The sequence below is a fragment of the Homo sapiens genome, chromosome 5 (assembly GCF_000001405.40).
Source record: "Homo sapiens chromosome 5, GRCh38.p14 Primary Assembly".
NCBI classification, from domain to species: domain Eukaryota; kingdom Metazoa; phylum Chordata; class Mammalia; order Primates; family Hominidae; genus Homo; species Homo sapiens.
The window spans coordinates 174,948,695-174,967,806 of NC_000005.10; the positions used below are offsets into that span (position 1 = coordinate 174,948,695).

Consider the following 19,112-nt stretch of genomic DNA (forward strand, 5'->3'; position numbering starts at 1 on the left):
CATGACGCCTTCTCCTCTTGAGCCCTTCCCTAGCCCCTCAAGTGGAGTTAGTTGCCTTGTACTTCACATCCTCACAGTACTCTGTACATGCTCACCCCATAAAAGCATTCGATGCAGTGCATGCCTGTGATCCTCACTATATCTGAGCTCCTTGAAGACAGAGGCTGTGCTGAAGTTACACAGGTCAAGTTATTCATCAGGCGCAGATTACCCGTAAACGTAAGCAACCAATCTCAACTCTACAGATGAGGAAATCGAGCCTCAGACACCTTAAGCAACTTGCTGAGGTCACACAGCTGGAAAGTGTTAAAGCCGAGGTGAAAACCCTGCATTTGTCTGATTCTAAAGCCATGCTACTCTGTGCTGCCTCTGGGTCTTACTCACCACGAGGTCCCCAGGATCTGTTCCATAGCTAAGTGCATAGGAGGCCCTCATAAGTATTTGATGAATGGATGAAAGCATAGATGAATGCGCAGGTCAGTGAGCATGCCCAGGAACCACTGCAGGCAGAAAGCACGTTATCTGGAAGGTATACCAGAAACAGCATGTTTATAACTTGTGTGTGGAGAGCAGATAATATCAATTTGAACACTATTTCTACTTTCATTCTAATATGTTTACCAAAAAGGGCAACTGGGCTGGAAAACAGTACACCCCCACATTTCATTGCTGATTAAAATGATTTAAAATGTACTATGAGCGACTTCAAATAAAGAGACAGGGCGAATGCCAGAAATAGCAGAAAATGGAATGAAGACATGGAGGTAAGATAAATAGGATCCGAAATATCTGGGTCTTATGAATGAGAAATCACAGAATAGAGCTGCTCACTTTAGTTTTGTGTGGCCAACAAATTATAATAAGGCAAAGAATCCAGCATTCATGCATGGATTCTTAATGAAATGTATGTGGTATTCCAAGAGGTTCTTCCATCTGGAGATCTCAAAGTACTTAGCAGATTTTTTTTTTTTTGCCTAATTGGAAAAGGGAGAGATTCTTTCACCTCTCATTGAACTGATGCCAATTATAGGATAAAATTAAAACAACCTCGAGCTGCCAGGTTCACCTGGGAGGCCAGGAGGATGCAGGAGTCAGTGATTGGGGCTGGGGCTAACATTAAGACAGGTGAGAAGAGTTTGTTGTCTCTAAAGTGAGGCACGAGCCATTTATTCATGTGATGCCCTCATTGTTCAGCATCACAGAGCACAAAGGTCTCAACCTTGGGCAGTGGTGAGGCCAGAGTGTGAGCACTGGTTCTGGTACCTTCTTCCTATCCAACCACAGATGTGGAAATGACTTCCCTACTTTGAGTCATTTCCTCATCTGTAAAACTGGGATGACAACAGCATTAAATCTGATGCTATTGGTCCTCATTTTATAGATGAAAAAATTAATCTCAGCAAAGTTAAGTGATCTGCCTAAGGTAACAAGAAGTGATGGTGTGGCCGGGCGCGGTGGCTGACGCCTGTAATCCCACCACTTTGGGAGGCCGAGGCAGGTGGGTCACGAGGTCAAGAGATTAAGACCATCCTAGCCAACATGGTGAAACCCCATCTCTACTAAAAATACAAAAATTAGCCAGGCGTGGTGGTGGGCGCCTGTAATCCCAGCTACTCGGGAGGCTGAGGCAGGAGAATCTCTTGAACCCGGGAGGCGGAGGTTGCCGTGAGTTGAGATTACACCACTGCACTCCAGCCTGGGCGACAGAGCGAGACTCCATCTCAAAAAAAATAAAAAAAAAAAGAGAGAGAGAGAGAAGTGATGTGCTGGAATCCACACCTGGGCCTCCTTGATTCTAAATCCTGCATCGTTCTCCAACTCCTCGATTCTGTCTGCCTGCCTCATTCCTCTATCTTCTCATTACCCAGATGGCAGAGAGGAGATGCTGTGAGACAGATGGAAGGAGATGGCCATGGCAATGCAGCTTGTTATCTAGCAAACAAACCAGGGGTAACCTATTTGCATATTTAAAAAATGATGGGCCGGGCGCGGTGGCTCACGCCTGTAATCCCAGCACTTTGGGAGGCCGAGGCGGGCGGATCAAGAGGTCAGGACATCCAGACCATCCTGGCTAACACTGTGAAATCCCGTTTCTACTAAAAATACAAAAATTAGCCGGGCGTGGTGGCGGGCGCCTGTAGTCCCAGCTACTCTGGAGGCTGAGGCAGGAGAATGGCGCGAACCCTGGAGGCGGAGCTTGCTGTGAGCAGAGATGGAACCACTGCACTCCAGCCTGGGCGATAGAGCAAGACTCCGTCTCAAAAAAAAAAAAAAAAAAAGATGAACATGCCAATAATAAACGATTTTGGCTCGAAGGTGACACGCTCAGCTCTTACACTTAGTACCCCTTGGGGTACTAATGGATGCCATATACAAAAATCCTTAAGTCAACACTCAAATTATTGTCGTAGGTTAATCATGAGTAATTTAGAGGATGACAATTTCCTAAACTCCACTTACTTTTTTTAAAGGAACATGTTCCCATGTTAATAAGTGCATTCCAGCAAGATGTGATAACTATGAGGATTAAAGGCCCTTGGTGCAGACTGGGTGGTGGAGATTGGAGCAGCAAGAAGGACTCTTTCAAAGCCCTTGATCCCCCGACACCACTCTTGCTAGGTGGCTCATCTCTTCCCTTGCAGAGCACACACGTTAGCCACTAGGTGGCGGAGTTGTAAAGCCAAAGACCCAACTGCAGACCAACAGAGGCACAAGAATCTCCCTGGTTAGACCCAGAGAGACTGCAGTCAAGCTCGCTTTCTGATGAGTTTAAAGTTTGAAGGCAAGAGAGACTTTTCTCTTTAAAACCATTTCCCCATATTACAACTAGTGCTTCATCCTTCAGTAAAAGTCTGGCATTTTCACTGTCCACCCTTCCACCTGTCCACGCACCCACCCATCCATCCATCCACCCATCCATCCATCCATCCATCCATCCATCCATCCATCCATTTTTTCCATCCACTCATCCACCAAATATTTGTGAACATCCACTAGGTACTGAGCACTATGCTAGGCATTAGGGATACAGCAGTGAACTGACAGACCCAAACTTCTCTCTCATGGAAGAGCTTACATCCTAATGGGGGGAGAAGGACATTAAACTGTAATCAGACACCTAAACGGACAATTGAAACCTAGGAGACAGGTTGTGAAGAGACGGCATCAAGGCCTTTGAGAGTGTGCCACATTCAGGGACCTGATGTTTCTGGTGAATGTATAACTAGGTGAGGTGGGTTGGGGGGTTGGGGGGGTGGGTGTCTAAACTGAGAATATACAAAGGCCCCAAAGACGAAAGGGGCCTGGTGAGCTCAAAGTAGGCCTGGCAGGTTGGGAGAGAGCAGTGGGAGAGGAGGCTAGAAACCCAGGCAGGGACTGGGTCATGTGAGGTCTTACAGGGCACAGAATGGAATTTGAGTTTGATTTTATGTTCAGTGGAAAACCTGGGGGTCTCCATCATCTGAACGTGCCCCTGCCCCAGCCTCATCCCCTGCATAAATTCCACACTGTGCTCTAAGGACCTCATCCTTTACAAGTTCTTCCTACTCCCCAGAGGGATGGGTAGGACACATCTCCAAACCTCACACTGAGATGGGGCTGTTGATCACTGACAGGATCTTGCTCACAAGGGTAGGAGGACCCTTGGAGTTTTTGGAAGCACAGCAGGGAAAAACCTCAGGCCCTGGAATCAACTTCAGCCTTTGGATGATGGGAAGGTGAGGAGACAGGGGCAACCATCAGCAGCGAGCTTAAGAAAAAGGAGGCTCAATACTCTTTTCCCCTCTACACTTGGAGAACCCACTCTTTCCCCCCAAATGCTATGCACAATGATTTTCTAAAATTCAACAGTCATTTTTTGAGCACCTGCCATAATGTGTGTCCAAGGTCAATGATGTGTTTAAGAAGCCACACTTAAGAAACTCTGAGGAGTGTGCATGGGTGAGGGGGCAGACAGATACCAGTGCTCTGAGTTAAGAATTATAACCAGGGCTTGTGGAAAGTGCTATGAGAAGCCACGGAAATGTGACCTTACTTAGTCTAAAGGAAGTGGTTCCCCAAGAAAGTGATTTTTCAGGTGGGTCTTAAGGGATGAATACTTGTTATCTGGGGAGACAAGATTCTCAGTTAATGACATGCCTGAGAAACAGTCAGCAGCTGGTTGGTGGAGAGAGAAACAGACTGGATCTTGGAGGACCAGGCTTAATGTGGATTTCGTATTGTAGAAGGTGAGGAGCCCTAGAAAGAGAAAATGTGCTCATTTTTTCCCGAAGGTTGATACAGTTCTGCCGTGAGTCAAAAGTAGTGGATACTAAGAATCTGAAGTACTGGGCTACTGTATAGCACTTAAAATAATCCAACTAGAGCAACATTAAAGGTAAAAAGCAAACAGTGCAAGGAAGTATACAGCATGCCATTTATTTGAAGTTTAAACACACACAAGAGAATACAGCATGTTGTTTATAGCTGCATGCGTTTGTTTGTTTGCTTGTTTGTTTTGAGATAGGGTCTCGCTCTGTCACCCAGGCTGGAGTGCAGTGGCACGAGGATCTCAGCTCACTTCAACCTCCGCCTCCCAGGTCCAAGTCATTCTCGTGCCTCAGCCTCCCAAGCAGCTGGGATTATAGGCATGCACCATCACACCCAGCTAATTTTTGTATTTTTAGTAGAGAATGGGGTTTCACCATGTTGGCCACCAGGCTGGTCTCGAACTCCTTACCTCACGTGATCTGCCTGCCTCGGCCTCCCAAAATGCTGGAATTACAGGCATGAGCCACCGCACCCGGCCGCATGTGTATATTTTAAAAGGACAGAATCAAGCCTGGGAATGCAATGCACCAATTTCTGGACGGGGTTCTCTTCTGGGGAAGGAGGGTAGGCATGAGATCAGGGAGGATGCCCAAGATGGCTCAGCTGTTTCTGTAACGTGTTGTTGTTTTTAACATAAACAGCAAAAAGATCTGAAGCAAACACGAGTAAGTGTTAAGATGTGCTCAAACCAGGTGGTAAGTGCCTGGGTGTACATTATCTGATTTTTGTCTTTGTAATTTTCTCTCTGTTAAAAAATTTGTGATAACAATATTTTTTTTAAAAAAAGAATCATAAGTACCATATTTTCTCTCCTACGTCACCATTCCCCATTGAGTGAACATGTTTTAGTGCCTATGTGTTTAACAGTGTATACATTTAATAGAGACCTCATCCAAAAATGCTCTCCGTAAAGAATGCTGGAACAATTAATTTGACAGTTTTAAAAGTAGTTTAAAGATGCCCAAGATAAAGGTTTTTCCCAAGCTCTGGTATTTGCTCCCCACTTTTTCCTTTGGTTAGAGACGTTGCCATGGTAACAGACAGGGTCCTCAAAGCTCAGAGTCACACTTTGTGATGTGAATCTGGGACTGAAACTGTTTCCTTTCAAAGATGGATGGAAAAAGAGGAAGATTTCACAGACATAAAAGCCTCGATGTAAGTCGTGAAAATAATTACCATAGTCATGATGGCTTCCACCTGCTGCACGCTCGCTGTATGTCAGGATGAACAGTAACTCACTAAATCTTTCCATCAGCCACAGCTATTCCCATTTTATACATGAGAAATTGAGCCCCATAGAGGCTAAGGGATCTGTCTAAGGTCATGTTAGAGGTAACTGGTGGAGGCAAGATTGAGCCGACTCCACCTGACTCCAGAGTAGCGACGTCCTCCACCTCTTGCTTGGCTTGCAAGACCTTTGTTATTAGAAGAAGCGCCTCTGAGGGATGTGTCCCCATGACCACGTCTGACAGTATGATGGGCACACCAGGAGTCCAGACAGATTCAACAGTTCAGCTTTGCTCAGGAGAAGGTATTGAATGACCTGACCCAAACATCTGAGCCAAAGATGCAAAAGGAATTTGGTTCTGAAATTTCCAGAGAAGCAAGAAATTCATCCTTAAAACTCAAATGTAAAATTTGGCAGCAAATTCAATTTTTTAAAAATACACTTTGTAAGCCAAAGAAAACACGTCTGGAGGCTGTATCAGCTGCCCATTGGCAACCTCAGATATTGGTGATCAGCATTCGGAGGGATGAGCTCCCTCAGAATAATTTTAAGCAGAAAAATCCACTATCTGTTAACTGTCAACCTCCCCCAAAAAATCACTGGAAAAAAAAATCCTGTTGATCCAGCAAAGTTAAGTTTGTTGGACTTACTGCAGTAAAGAAGAACACCATTGTGGCAGAATCTTGGTAGAATCTCAAAATGGGGAAAGGAAGGGAGGATATTTATAGTTTGAGGGTCTAAGCTGGGCGTTTTAAAGGTGTGTCTCACAAGCAGAGCCTTGGATAAAGCTAGGTAAAGTTGATTACCCAAAAGCTTTCACTTGTGGGCACAGTGAGGGCCATAAAGTGAGGCTTGCTGAGTGAGCTGCTGGTCTTGATAAGTAAGCTATTTTAGTGGCTTTCCAGTCTTATCTTCTACAAGCAGGTATCTATTTCTTTGCTTTTTTTTCTTCTTTTTATTGTGGTCAAAATATACATAATATAGAATTTACCATTTTAATCATTCTTAAGTGTACAGTTCAGTGGCATTAAGTACATTCACATTGTTATACAACCATAACCACCACCCAGTTCCAGAACTTATCTTCCAAAACTGAAACTGTGCCCATTAAGCAACAATGCCCCATTTCTCCCTTCCCTACCCCCTGGCAACAACCACTCTCCTTTCTGCCTCTATGAGTGTATTCTAGGTTAGCTGATATCGGTGGACAAACATAATCCTCTATCTCCACAGCAAGCAATTCTGGGACTGGGTTTATTTTCTTGATGCCATGTTAAACAATGTGTTGATACCCTTTTTAGATCAGACCATGTTTCAGGAAGGTCCCTCTGGCTGCAGTGTGTGGATGCTGGTCTCTGGAACAGTTCTCCCACTGCAAGCCATTTTTAAAGGATCCAGTGATCCCCTTCCCATCCACAGTTCAAGCAAAACTGTGCCATTTCTAAATACCTAAAGGCCATCAAAAAGCAATAGTAGGAACTAGATGTGGCTTACTTTGCTGGAAGGCCTGCGAGTAGGTGCCAGGTCGTTAGGACCTTTGGAAACAGGCTGCTTGACATCACTCTCAGGCCCCGATAGAAACTGACAGCCACAATTGGGTGAGCAACAATGCAAAACTGCCATATGGAAGCTCTTTTAGATGGTTTCTGTTGGAAACTCAGGTTTCCTTGGCCCACAGCCTTTTCTAGTCATTTGCAGTCATTCTGAGCTCTCTGGAGCACATCTGGGGCCCGAAAGCAGAACATTTTTGGCTAAGAAGCATCTTCAAATGTTAATGTCTGATTGAAATCATCTCTGAAGTGAATGGGTTTAACCTTTATTTTTACCAAGACTCATGTATGGGTCTGGCTGCCACAACCTTTTTTTCCTGTCTGGAAGCACCTACTGAACTTCTGTCCCAACAAATACTTCTCTGGCTCCTATTTTCTACACATCACTGGTGCCCGCATAACAAGCAAAGGTGAGTCTGCCAGTGGGTAGCCTACAATTTAGCTGGGCAGACAGGACAAGCACTCCGGCAATAAAAGGCAATGCAGTATGGGTGATAAGCTATTTACGCTCATGTCAATGATGCTCTCTAAAATCACTCTCTGCTCCCACGCAATGGTTGCCTTTTTATCCAGTGGCTTATAAGAGAGGATATGTGAGAATATCTAGAGAATTTTTTTTCTTTTTTCTGTAGAGACAGGGTCTCCCTATGTTACCCAGGCTGGTCTTGAACTCCTGGTCTCCCATATCCGCCTCCCAAAGTGCTGGGATTATGGGTGTGAGCCACCTGGCCAGCCCCAGAGATACTTTCGATTGTCACAACTTTGTGAGGTGGTGCTTTGGGCTTCCAGTGGGTAGAGGCCAGAGAAGCTACAAAGCATCCTGCAATGCACAGGACAGCCCCCACAATGCAGCATTATCTGACCCCAAATGGCTATAGTGCCAATGTTGTGAAACCCTTTTTGAGCCCTTTTCCTATTCATATATATCCAGATGTGATCAAAATTGTTAACATCTCCTGAGAGCTTTCTATATCCTCGGTACTGGAATCATTGAATCTTCACCACAACCTTCTAAGGTTGCTACTACTATCATCGATCATAATTTACATGTAAAGAAACTTTAAATAAATTGCCCAAATTCACGCAGCTAGAAAATGGTGGAGCTGGGGTTTGCACGGAGAACCCAGTCCATCTGTGTCGTTGGAGCTTTGCTGCAGGGAAGAGAAGATCGGGGCCACCTATGTCAGCATGACTCTGGTTGTTCTTCTAAACAACTTTCCCCTCGGATGAGACTGTAAACCAATGAGTAACTTTATTATTTCATCAGGACATTTCTGTGGATCGATTTATTGAAGACATTAAAGTGTTTGCCAAACAACAGTCTACCCATCAAGCCTCACTTCACCACTCCTGCCTTCCTGTGCCCACCAGTCCTGAATGATTGGATTACAAACTGCCCAATCCAAGTCAATCTTATCTTGGAAAAATGCCTTAGATCATTTGAGCCCAGACCCTATAGGGTCCTGTAACTATGCTGCTTCTGACTCTGGGCTCTGAGACATGACTAAGACTCTGTCAAGACAGATTCTCCTTTACTGCATAGGGTTCTAATAAATGTAACTTTGCTTTATAAATGGGTTGTCCAGTGATATTTGGGGAGCTCAACAGCACCAAGCTGTCTAAACCCAAGGCCCTCTGCTTTTTGCCATTTGCTATACTGTTTGCTAGTACAGTTTTTATTTTAGCTCAAATCAGATAATACTATACATATTATCCCATGATTTGCTTTTAAAAATGTTTAATGGATTTTAGGAACCTTTAATTGTCAGTTAATACCAACCACCTCACCTGCCCCCTTCCTCTTCCCCCCATGGCTACATAATATTTAACGGAATTGACATATACATCTTAATTGATTTTTCCGGTTCCTTGTAGATAGAAATGTAGGTTGTGGCTACTCTGCCTATGGAGTAGGCATTTTATAATTCATTGACTTTTTTTTTTTTTTTTGATGAAGTCTTGCTCTGTCACCCAGGCTGGAGTGCAATGGCGCAATCTCGGCTCACTGCAACCTCCACCTCCTGGGTTCAAGTGATTCTCCTGCCTCCGCCTCCCGAGTAGCTGGGATTACAGGCAGGCGCCACCACGCCTGGCTAATTTTTGTATTTTTAGTAGAGATGGGGTTTCACCATGTTGGTCAGGCTGGTCTCGAACTCCTGACCTCATGATCCGCTTGCCTCGGCCTCCCAAAGTGCTGGGATTACAGACGTGAGCCACAGCGCCTGGCCAATTCATTTACTTTCTTAATAAACTTGCTCTTACTTTACAAAAAAAATTTAAAAAAAAGAGAAGTGTAGGTTGTTTTCATTTTTCTTAATTACAAATAATATCACAATGTAACCCAATGTTGTATTCACATTTAAGTATTTTTTTGTCCAAAACCCAAGTATTTAATTTTTTAAGATTGACAAATAAAAATTGTTTGTATTTATCATGTACAGTATTTATGTTTTGAAATATGTATACATAATGGAATAGCTAAATAAAGCTAATTAACATGTACATTACCTCACATACTTACATTTTATTTTTTGCAGTGAGGACACTTAAAATCTCCATGTGACCCAGCAATCCCATTACTGGGTATATACCCAAAGGATTGTAAATCATTCTACTATAAAAACACATGCACACGTATGTTTGTTGCAGTGCTGTTCACAGTGGCAAAGACTTGGAACCAACCCAAATGTCCATCAGTGATAGACTGGAAAAAGAAAATGTGGTACATATACACCATGGAATACTATGCAGCCATAAAAAAGAATGAGATCATGTCCATCAATGATAGACTGGAAAAAGAAAATGTGGTACATATACACCATGGAATACTGTGTAGCCATAAAAAAGAATGAGTTCATGTTCTCTATGGGGACATGGATGAAGCTGGAAACCATCATTCTCAGCAAACTAACACAGGAACAGAAAACCAAACACATGTTCTCCCTCATAAGTGGGAGCTGAACAATGAGAACGCATGGACACAGAGAGGGGAACATCACATACTGGGGCCTGTAGTGGGGCGGGGGCTGGTGGGGGTAGCACTGGGAGAAATACCTAATGCAGTTGACAGATTGACAGGTGCAGCAAACCACCATGGCACACGTATACCTATGTAACAAACCTGCACGTTCTGCACATGTATCCCTGAACTTAAAGTATAATTTAAAAAAAGAAGAAAAAAATAAAATTTAAAAAATGCTCTTTTAACAGGAAAATGGCTTTGTTTTTAAAACTAAAGGGATGTTTCGTGCTGTTTAACTAAAAGAAAGCAATTAAAATAGGAACACACAAATAAAAATTAACATAGTAAGTAGAGGTATTTGAATGTACCTGGACCATGGCTATTTCACTGGTGACGAGACCATAATGCATAACAATATTACATTCTTTAATATCCAGACCTTCTTCTGCCACTGTGGTAGCCATAAGCAGATTTATTTTTCCCAGTACGAAATTTACTAATGACTTCTTTGTGTTAATTCTGTAGAAACATTTTAATAAATTTTGTGATACTAAACACATTAAAATCTTCTAATAAAAAATAAAATCTACTCAGCAGTTTTCAAGAATACAATACATTGCATTGTATTATGTTGTAGTTCAATATAGCTACTATAGTAAACTATGTATATGCATCTATATTCAATAGATCTCTTGAATGTATTCCTCCTGCCTAACTGACATTTTGTATTCTTTGACTAACATCTCTCCAATCTCCACCATGCCTCCACCACTAGCCCCTGGTAAACACCATTCTATCCTCCGCTTCTATGAGTTCAACTGTTTTAAATTCCACAAATAAGTGAGATCGTGTAGTATTTGTCTTTCTGTGTCTGGCTTATTTCACTTAATGTAACGTCCTCCAGGTTCATCCTTGTGGCTGCAAATGACAGGATTTATTTCTTTTTAAAGGCTGAATAATATTCCATTGTGTGTATGTACCACAATTTCTTCATCCATTTATCTGTTGATGGACACAGGTTGATTCCATATCTTGGCTATTGTGAACAGTGCTACAATGAACATGAGAGTACAGACATCTCTTCAAGATACGAATTCCATGTCCTTTAGATATATAACTAGTCGGTGGCGGGGAGGGGTCCTAGATCATATGGTAGTTCTATTTTTAATTTTTTGAAGAACCTCCACACTATTTTCCATAATGGGGGTACTAATTTACATTCCCACCAATAGCGTACAAGGGTTTCCTTTCTCCTACATCCTCACCAGGATGTTACCTTTCATCTCTTTTATGATAATCATTGTAACAGATATGAAGTGATATATGATTGTGGTTTTAATTTGCATTTCCCTGATGATTAGAGAATTGGCTTTTTTTTTCATATGCCAGTTGGAAATTTGTAAATCTTCTTCTGAGTAATGTCTATTTTTTTTTTTTTTTTTTGAGATGGAGTCTCGCCCAGTCACCCAGGCTGGAGTGCAATGGTGTGATCTTGGCTCACTGCAACCTCCGCCTCCTGGGTTCAAGCGATTCTCATGCCTCAGCCTCCTGAGTAGCTGGGATTACAGGCTTGCACCACCATGCCCTGCTAATCTTTTGTATCTTTAGTGCAGACGGGATTTCATCATGTTGGCCAGGCTGGTCTCGAACTCCTGACCTCGTGAACCACCTGCCTTGTTCTCCCAAAGTGCTGGGATTACAGGCGTGAGCCGCCGCACCCAGCCTATTCAGGCCATTTGCCCATTTTTAAATTTTGTTGTTTGTTTTCTTCCTATTGAGTTGTTTGAGCTCCTTATTTATTTTGAAAATTAACCCCTTATCAGATGTATGGTTCACAAATATTTTCTCCCATTCTATAGGCATCTCTTCGCTTTGTCAATTGTTTCCTTTTCTGGGCAGAAGTTTTTTAGTTTGATGTAGTCCCATGTGTAAACTTTTGCTTTTGTTGCCTATGGTTTTAGGTTCATATTCAAAAAATTATTGCCCGGGCCAATATCATAGAGCTGTTCCCCTATATTTTCTTTTAGTAGTTTTACAGTTTCAGATCTTATATTTAAGTCTTTATTCCATTTTGAGTTGATTTTTGTATATGGTGTGAGAGGAGGGCCTAATTTCATTATTTGAAATGTGGACATACCGTTTTCCCAACACCATTTATTGAAGATGTGGTCTATTGTGTTCTTGGCACCTTTGTTGAAAATTAACCATAAATGTGTGGATTTATCTCTAGGCTCTTTGTTCTGTTCCACTGATTACATGTTTTTATGCCAGCACTATGCTGTTATGTTTTTTTTAAAGTTTTATTTTGTTTCTATTGGCACATAATAATTTATCGGCACATATTTACAGGGTACAGTGTGATGTTTTTACATATGTATAGATTGTATACCAATCAAATTTGGGTAATTAGCATATCCATCACCTCAAACACTTGTCATTTCTTTGTGGTAAGAACATTCAAAATCCCCTCTTCTAGCTATTTTGAAATATACACACATTACTGTTAACTCTAGTCACCCCACTCTGCAATAGAAGAGCAGAACTTATACCTCCTATCTAACTGTAACTTTGTGTCTGTTGACCAATCTCCATCCATTCTTCTTTTTCCCTTATCCTTCCCAGCCTCTGGTAACTACTCTTCTACTTTCTACTTTTAAGAGATCAACTTTTTTAGATTCCACATATGAGTGCGATCATGCGGTATTTGTCCTTCTGTGCTTGGCTTATTTTAACTTATCAACTTCAGGCTCACATTTGAGTATTTCTATAACTTTGACTTTACTTTGACATATAATTGCCAGGTCAAATCTTGTAAATTTCAAATTTAAATATATGTTTTCAAATGGTCCTCCAAGTTATCTTTATTAATTTAGCAGTGGGGGATGAGAATGTTTCCCCTTATTCTTCCCAATACCTGAGAAATTGGGGGCACAGTTACGACTAAGCAATAGTTGACTATTGTCACATGGAAATTTATGCCTGGTGGTAAAAGTTATTTTTCAAAAGAAGCTGAAATTCAGACACTTTAAGTAAAATCTCCTGATTTTTTAATGTCGTCAACTAATTGCATCTTTAAATAAACGTTTGCTACAAGCCAGTTTCAACCTGCATGCCACCAGTTTGCAAACTCTGGAGAAGTTGATCTTGAAGAGATCGCTAGAGATCAATTGCAAACCCTGGAGCAGTTGATCTAACAAGACACAGGACAAGTCATGACAAGGCAGTAAATTAGATGGTCAAGTGCACAGGTTGGACCTATTGTTTCCCTGGGGCACATATTTCCAGCTACTCTAGGGTAAAATGTGTGTTTCTCAGGCTGGGTTGAGCATCTCAGGTGAGCTTGGAAGTCATACTAAGGACATATTTCTACAGTATCCATTCATAACATGGACTGCAACTGCTAGAGCAGCTGGAAGCAAGCACCTGAGGCAGCTCAAGTGGAGGAAGGCCCTCCCCCTGGAGCTATTGACTCTTCTCCAGGAGCAATTAAGAAACTGTTGAAGAAAAGGATAAAGAGGGAGCCTACCAACAGGTTGTTTGCTGGGGGACCCAGGGATCCCATTGATCTCTGCCACCCCCAGATATCTTATGAAAACCTGAAAATGCCAACAAGTCTTGAGCGAGACTCATTGCAATTTTTCCTGCATTTCTCATCTTGGTAAACGTCATCATCAATCAACCAGAAAAAAAGACCACTAAGGGGTTTCACACCTCTACGCTATTTCTATCTTGCAATGAATTTTGGTCTCCACCTGGGTGGAGAATTCTTGCTGGCCCTTCACAGGTCAGCTAAAATGTTATCTCCTCCAAGATACCTCCCAAACTGTATTTGTTGTGGTATTACTTTCTCCCCACTCTGTTTTCCCACAGCATTTTTACGCCTCTCTTAAAATACTTATATTTCTCTATTGCAGTGTTCTGCTTTACCTCTTTATCTTCCTAACTAAGGTCCTCAAGGAGGAGTCAGCACCTCGAGGAAGGTTTTACCCGATTCATTTATGGATGCTTCCCCCATAGCAGGTACCCAACAAATGCTTGTTTGTGGCAGTTTTTACATAGGTCCACAAATTCTTTGACATTTCTTCTATAAAGTGGTAGAGTCTGTGTTCCTTCCCCTGAAACTGGGAAGGCTTGCATGACTGCTTCAATCAACAGAATATAAGGCTGGGCACGGTGGCTCATGCCTGTAATCTCAGCACTTTGGGAGGCCAAGGCGGGAGGATCACCTGAGGTCAGGATTTCGAGACCAGCCTGACCAATATGGTGAAATCCCGTCTCTACTAAAAATACAAAAATTAGCGGGGTGTGGTGGTGGGTGCCTGTAATCCCAGCTACTCAGAAGGCTGAGGCAGGAGAACCGCTTGAACCCAGGAGGCGGAGGTTGCAGTGAGCTGAGATCACGCCATTGCACTCTAGCCTGGGTGACAGAGAGAGACTCCATCTCAAAAAAAAAAAAAAAAGGATATAGTAAAAGTTATATGACTTTTGATACTGGATTACAGAAGGTGATGCAACCTCCACCTTGCTCACTGAAACATTTATTTTTGAGGATTTTAGCTGTTATGTAAGCAGTCCAAACACCATGAGACCACCATGGTGTGAGGAAGTCTAAACTAGCCCACAGAGAGAGACCACACAGAGAAATCCTGAAACTAGTGGAGAGAGAGAGAGAGAGAGAAATCCAACCAGCCCCAACTGCTTCATGCTTCATACCCTGCTTTCCGAGGCTAATCACCATCTGACTATAACTGCATGTGATACTCAGCCAGAAATGCCCAGCTGACCTTTTTCTAATTCCTGACCCACAGGGTCTATGAGAAAAATTAAAATAATTGTTGCCGTTGTAAGCCACTTGTTTTGGTGGTGATTTATTGCACATCAAGAGATAATAGGAACAGAATTTTTTACCTGGAAGTGGGCTGCTGCCTTGGTTCTGCCTTTGGGACTGGGTGGGGGAAGGAGACATTGAAAGAGCCTCAAGGGGAATCTTAGCAGAAGCCTGACAGGGCTTGAGGAGGCTGTCAGTGAAGAGTTAAATGAGAGAAGGAGAGAGTTAGAAGCTGGAGGAAAGCAGACCTTTGTTATAAAGAAGTGAAAACTTCAGCAACACTGTGCCCTGAGGTAATGTGGAAGATAGAAAATGTATTCAATAAACTTGGTGAGGAAGACTGTTGGGCAGTATGTCAAAGGTTAAATCTGGCTGCTAGCTTCCTGTAGTAAAATGTAAAAGGATAGAGATTAACCAAAGAATAAGCACTTCAGATTTTTGGTAGATTTTGAAACAAAAGACCTCAGGGAAAAGATGAAATAGAGGGTGCTGTTAGCAAAATGCGGTCTGAGAGTAAAGATGAAGCTAAGAGTATGACTATGAAACTCTTTGTTAGCATCTCAGAAAAATTTAAGTGGTGTCTTAGAGACTTCTTCAGGTAGACAAATACTGTTCTAAAGATCTTATGGGGATGACTTTCAAATCCCTTTTGTTAAAAGATAGACTTTCTAAAATTTTTAGGGAAATTATCCTACCATTACCTCAGAGGAAGCCCCAAATCAGTAAACACATTTCTAGGGGAAATTTGTGGGTGTGGTGTCATCTATCTAATGGAATGGTTTTGTACATTGATACATAGGAAACGCACAACGTTTTTAAAGGACTTACATCATCTTGGAATGAAAGGGACAGAGACAGTACAAAAAGATAAGAGGTACTTGGCTCCCTAACCTTTTAAGGGTAGGAAGCAGGCTGAAAACATAAGTCACATCCTATGGAAAAGGAAAGAAAACTTAGTAGAACAAAGAGCCCAGTGGGCAAAGCCAAGAGGAGTGGAGAATGACTCCCAGGGAGTAGGACTGAGTCCTACTCAATAAGCTGGAAACATGTGCCTGGCTGGAATTTAGAAATGCTACAGATTTCAGTTTGCCCCATTTTTGCGTTTTTTGTTTTTTTAAATATTTATTTTGGGTTCAGCATACATGTGTAGGTTTTACAGGTAAATTGTGTGTCACTGGACTTTGGTGTACAGATTATTTCATCACCCAGGCAATAAGTATAGTACCTGATAGGTAGTTTTTTGATCCTCGCCCTCTACTTACCCTCCACCCTCAAGTAGGCCCCAGTGTTTCTTATTCCCTTATTTGTGTACATGTGTACTCAATATTTAGCTCCGACTTATAAGTGAGAACGTTTAGTATTTGGTTCCCTGTTCCTGTGTTAGTTGGCTTAGAATAATGACCTCCAGCTCCATCCATGTTGCTTTAAAGGGCATGATCTTTTTCTTTTTTATGACTGTGTAGTATTCCATTGTGTGTATGTACCACACCTTTTTTATCCAGTCTACTGTTGTTGGAAATTTAGATTGATTCCATGTCTTCACTATTATAAATGGTGCTGTGATGAACATACATGTGAATGTGTCTTTATAGTAGAATTATTCATATCCCTTTGGATATATACCCAATAATGGCATTGCTGGTCAAATGGTAGTTCTGTTTCACATTTTTTTTTTTTAAATCACCAAACTGCTTTCCATGTTGGCTGAACTAATTTACATTCCCACTGGCACTATATAAGCAGTCTCTTCTCTGCAACCTCAGCAGCATCTGTTATTTTTTGATTGGCTACAGTTTACAAATGTTTTCTCCCATTCTGTAGGTTATCTGTTTACCCTATTGATAGTTTCTTTTGTTGTAAAGAAGCTCTTTAGTTTAGTTAGATCACATTTGTCAATTTTTATTTTTCTTGCAATTGCTTTTGACATCTTCGTCATAAAATCTTTGCCAGGGCCTATGTCCAAAATCATATTTCCTATGTTTTCTTCTAGAGGTTTTAAAGTTTTAGGTATTCCATTTAAATCTTTAATCTATCTTAAGTTGATTTTTGTATATGGTGAAATGAAGGGACCCAGTTTCAATCTTTTGCATCTGGCTAGCTGGTTATCCCACAACCATTCACTGAATAGAAAATGCTTTCCCCATTGCTTGTTTTTGTTCACCTTGCCAAAGATCTGATGGTTGTAGGTATGTGACTTTATCTCTGAACTCTCTATTCTGTCCCATTGGTCTATGTATCTGTTTTTGTACTAGTACCATGCTGTTTTGGTTACTGTAGCCTTGTAGTATAATTTCAAGTTGGGTAATGTAAAGCCTCCAACTTTGTTCTTTTTTCCTAGCATTGGCTATTTAAGCTTTTCTTTTTTATTCCAGATAAATTTTAGAATAGATTTTCTAATTCTGTGAAAAATGTCATTGGTAGTTTCATAGGAATAGCATTAAATCTGCAAATTGCTTTGGGCAATATGGATGTTTTAACAATATTAATTCTTCCTATCCATGAGCATGGAATGTTTATCCCTGTTTGTGTCACCTCATTTCTTTGAGCAGTGTTTTGTAATTCTCATTGTAGAGATCTTTCACCTTCCTATTTAGCTGTATTCCTAGGTATTTTATTTTTTCTCTGTGGTGATTGTGAATGGGATTGTGTTCTTGCTTTGGCTCTCAGCTTTGAAATAGTTGGTGTATAGAAATGCTACTGATTTTTGTACATTGATTTTGTATGCTGAAACTTTGCCAAAGTTGGTTATCAGGTCAAGGAGCTTTTAGACATAGACTATGGGGTTTCTAGGTATAAAATCACATCATTTGCAAATAGACATAGTTTGACTTTCTCTCTTCCTATTTGGGTGGCTTTTATTTCTTTCCATTGCCCTATTTTTCTGGTTAGGACTTCTGCTACTATGTTGAATAGGAGTGATGACAGTGGGCATCCTTGCTTTTTCTGGTTCTCAGAGGAAATGAGTCCCGGTTTTGCCTATTTGGTATGATGTTAACTGTGAGTTGTCATACATGGCTCTTATTATTTTGAGGTATATTCCTCTGATGCCTGGTTTGTTGAAGGTTTTTAACATAATAGTATGTTGAATTTTATCAAAAGCTTTTCCTGTATCTATTGAGATGATCATATGTTTTTTGTTTTTAGTTCCATTTACGTGATGAATCACATTTATTGAGTTGCACCTGTTAAACCAACCTTGCATTCCAGGCATAAAGCCTACTTGATTTTGACGAGTTAGCTTTTTGATGTGCTGCTGGATTCAGTTTGCTAGTATTTTGTTGAGAATTTTTGTATCTGTATTCATCAAAGATATTGGCTTAAAGTTTTTTTGTTTTTTTTTGTTGTGTCTCTGCCAGGTTTTGATATCTGGATGATGCTGGCCTCATAGAATCAGTGAGGAAACAGTCCCTCTTCCTCTACTTTTTGGAATAGTTTCTGAAGAATTGGTACCAGCAATTCTTTACACACCCAGTAGAATTCAGCTGTGAATCTCTCTGGTCCTCGGCTTTTTCTGGTTGGTAGGTTTTTTTTTATTATTATTATTACTAATTCAATTTTGGAACTCGTTAGTGGTCTGTTCAGGGTTTCAATTTCTTCCTGGTCCAATCTTGGTATGTTGCATGTTTTCAGGAATTTATTCATTTCTTCTAAGTTTTCTAGTTTGTGTGCATGGAGATGTTCATAATAGTGTCTGAGGGTTTTTTGTATTTCTGTGGAGTCAGTGGTAATGTCCTTTTTGTCATTGCTGATTGTGCTTATTTGGGTCTTCTCTTTTTTTCTTTATTAGTGTAGCTGGTGGTCTATCAATCTTATTTATTCTTTCAAAAATCAACTCCTAGAATTGTTGATTTTCTGTATGTTTTTTCATATCTCAATTTCATTCACTTCAGTCCTCATTTTAGTTATTTCTTGCCTTCTGCTAGCTTTGGGGTTGGTTTCCTCTTGCTTTTTTTTTTTTTTTTTTAAAGGTGTGATATTAGGTTGTTAATTTGAAATCCTTTTAACTTTTTGAGGTAGGCATTTAGCACTATAAGCTTTCCTCTTAACATGGCTTTAGCTGTGTCCCAGAGATATTGTTATGTTGTAGCTTTGTTCTCATTACTTTCAAATAATTTATTGATTTCTGCCTTAATTTTATCACTTACCCAAAGTCATTCAGGAACAGGTTGTAATTTCCATGCAATTGTATGGTTTTCAGCAATTTTCTCAATGTTAATTTCTATTTTTATTGTGCTG

The 19,112-nt window shown here is 41.0% G+C and overlaps 1 long non-coding RNA gene across 1 annotated transcript in view, besides 1 other annotated feature; it reads right to left on the bottom strand.

The window, feature by feature from the left end:
• LINC01951 (long intergenic non-protein coding RNA 1951) overlaps positions 1-19,112 on the bottom strand; it is a 76,650-nt gene that overhangs the window by 29,613 nt on the left and 27,925 nt on the right. The window lies entirely within an intron of this gene.
• Positions 2,452-2,746: a silencer, noted in NCBI's record as "tiled region #11389; K562 Repressive DNase unmatched - State 12:CtcfO". NCBI's record gives its function as "represses a minimal TATA promoter and a strong SV40 promoter by Sharpr-MPRA in K562 cells {active_cell/tissue: K562}" and the evidence as "EXISTENCE:reporter gene assay evidence [ECO:0000049][PMID:27701403]".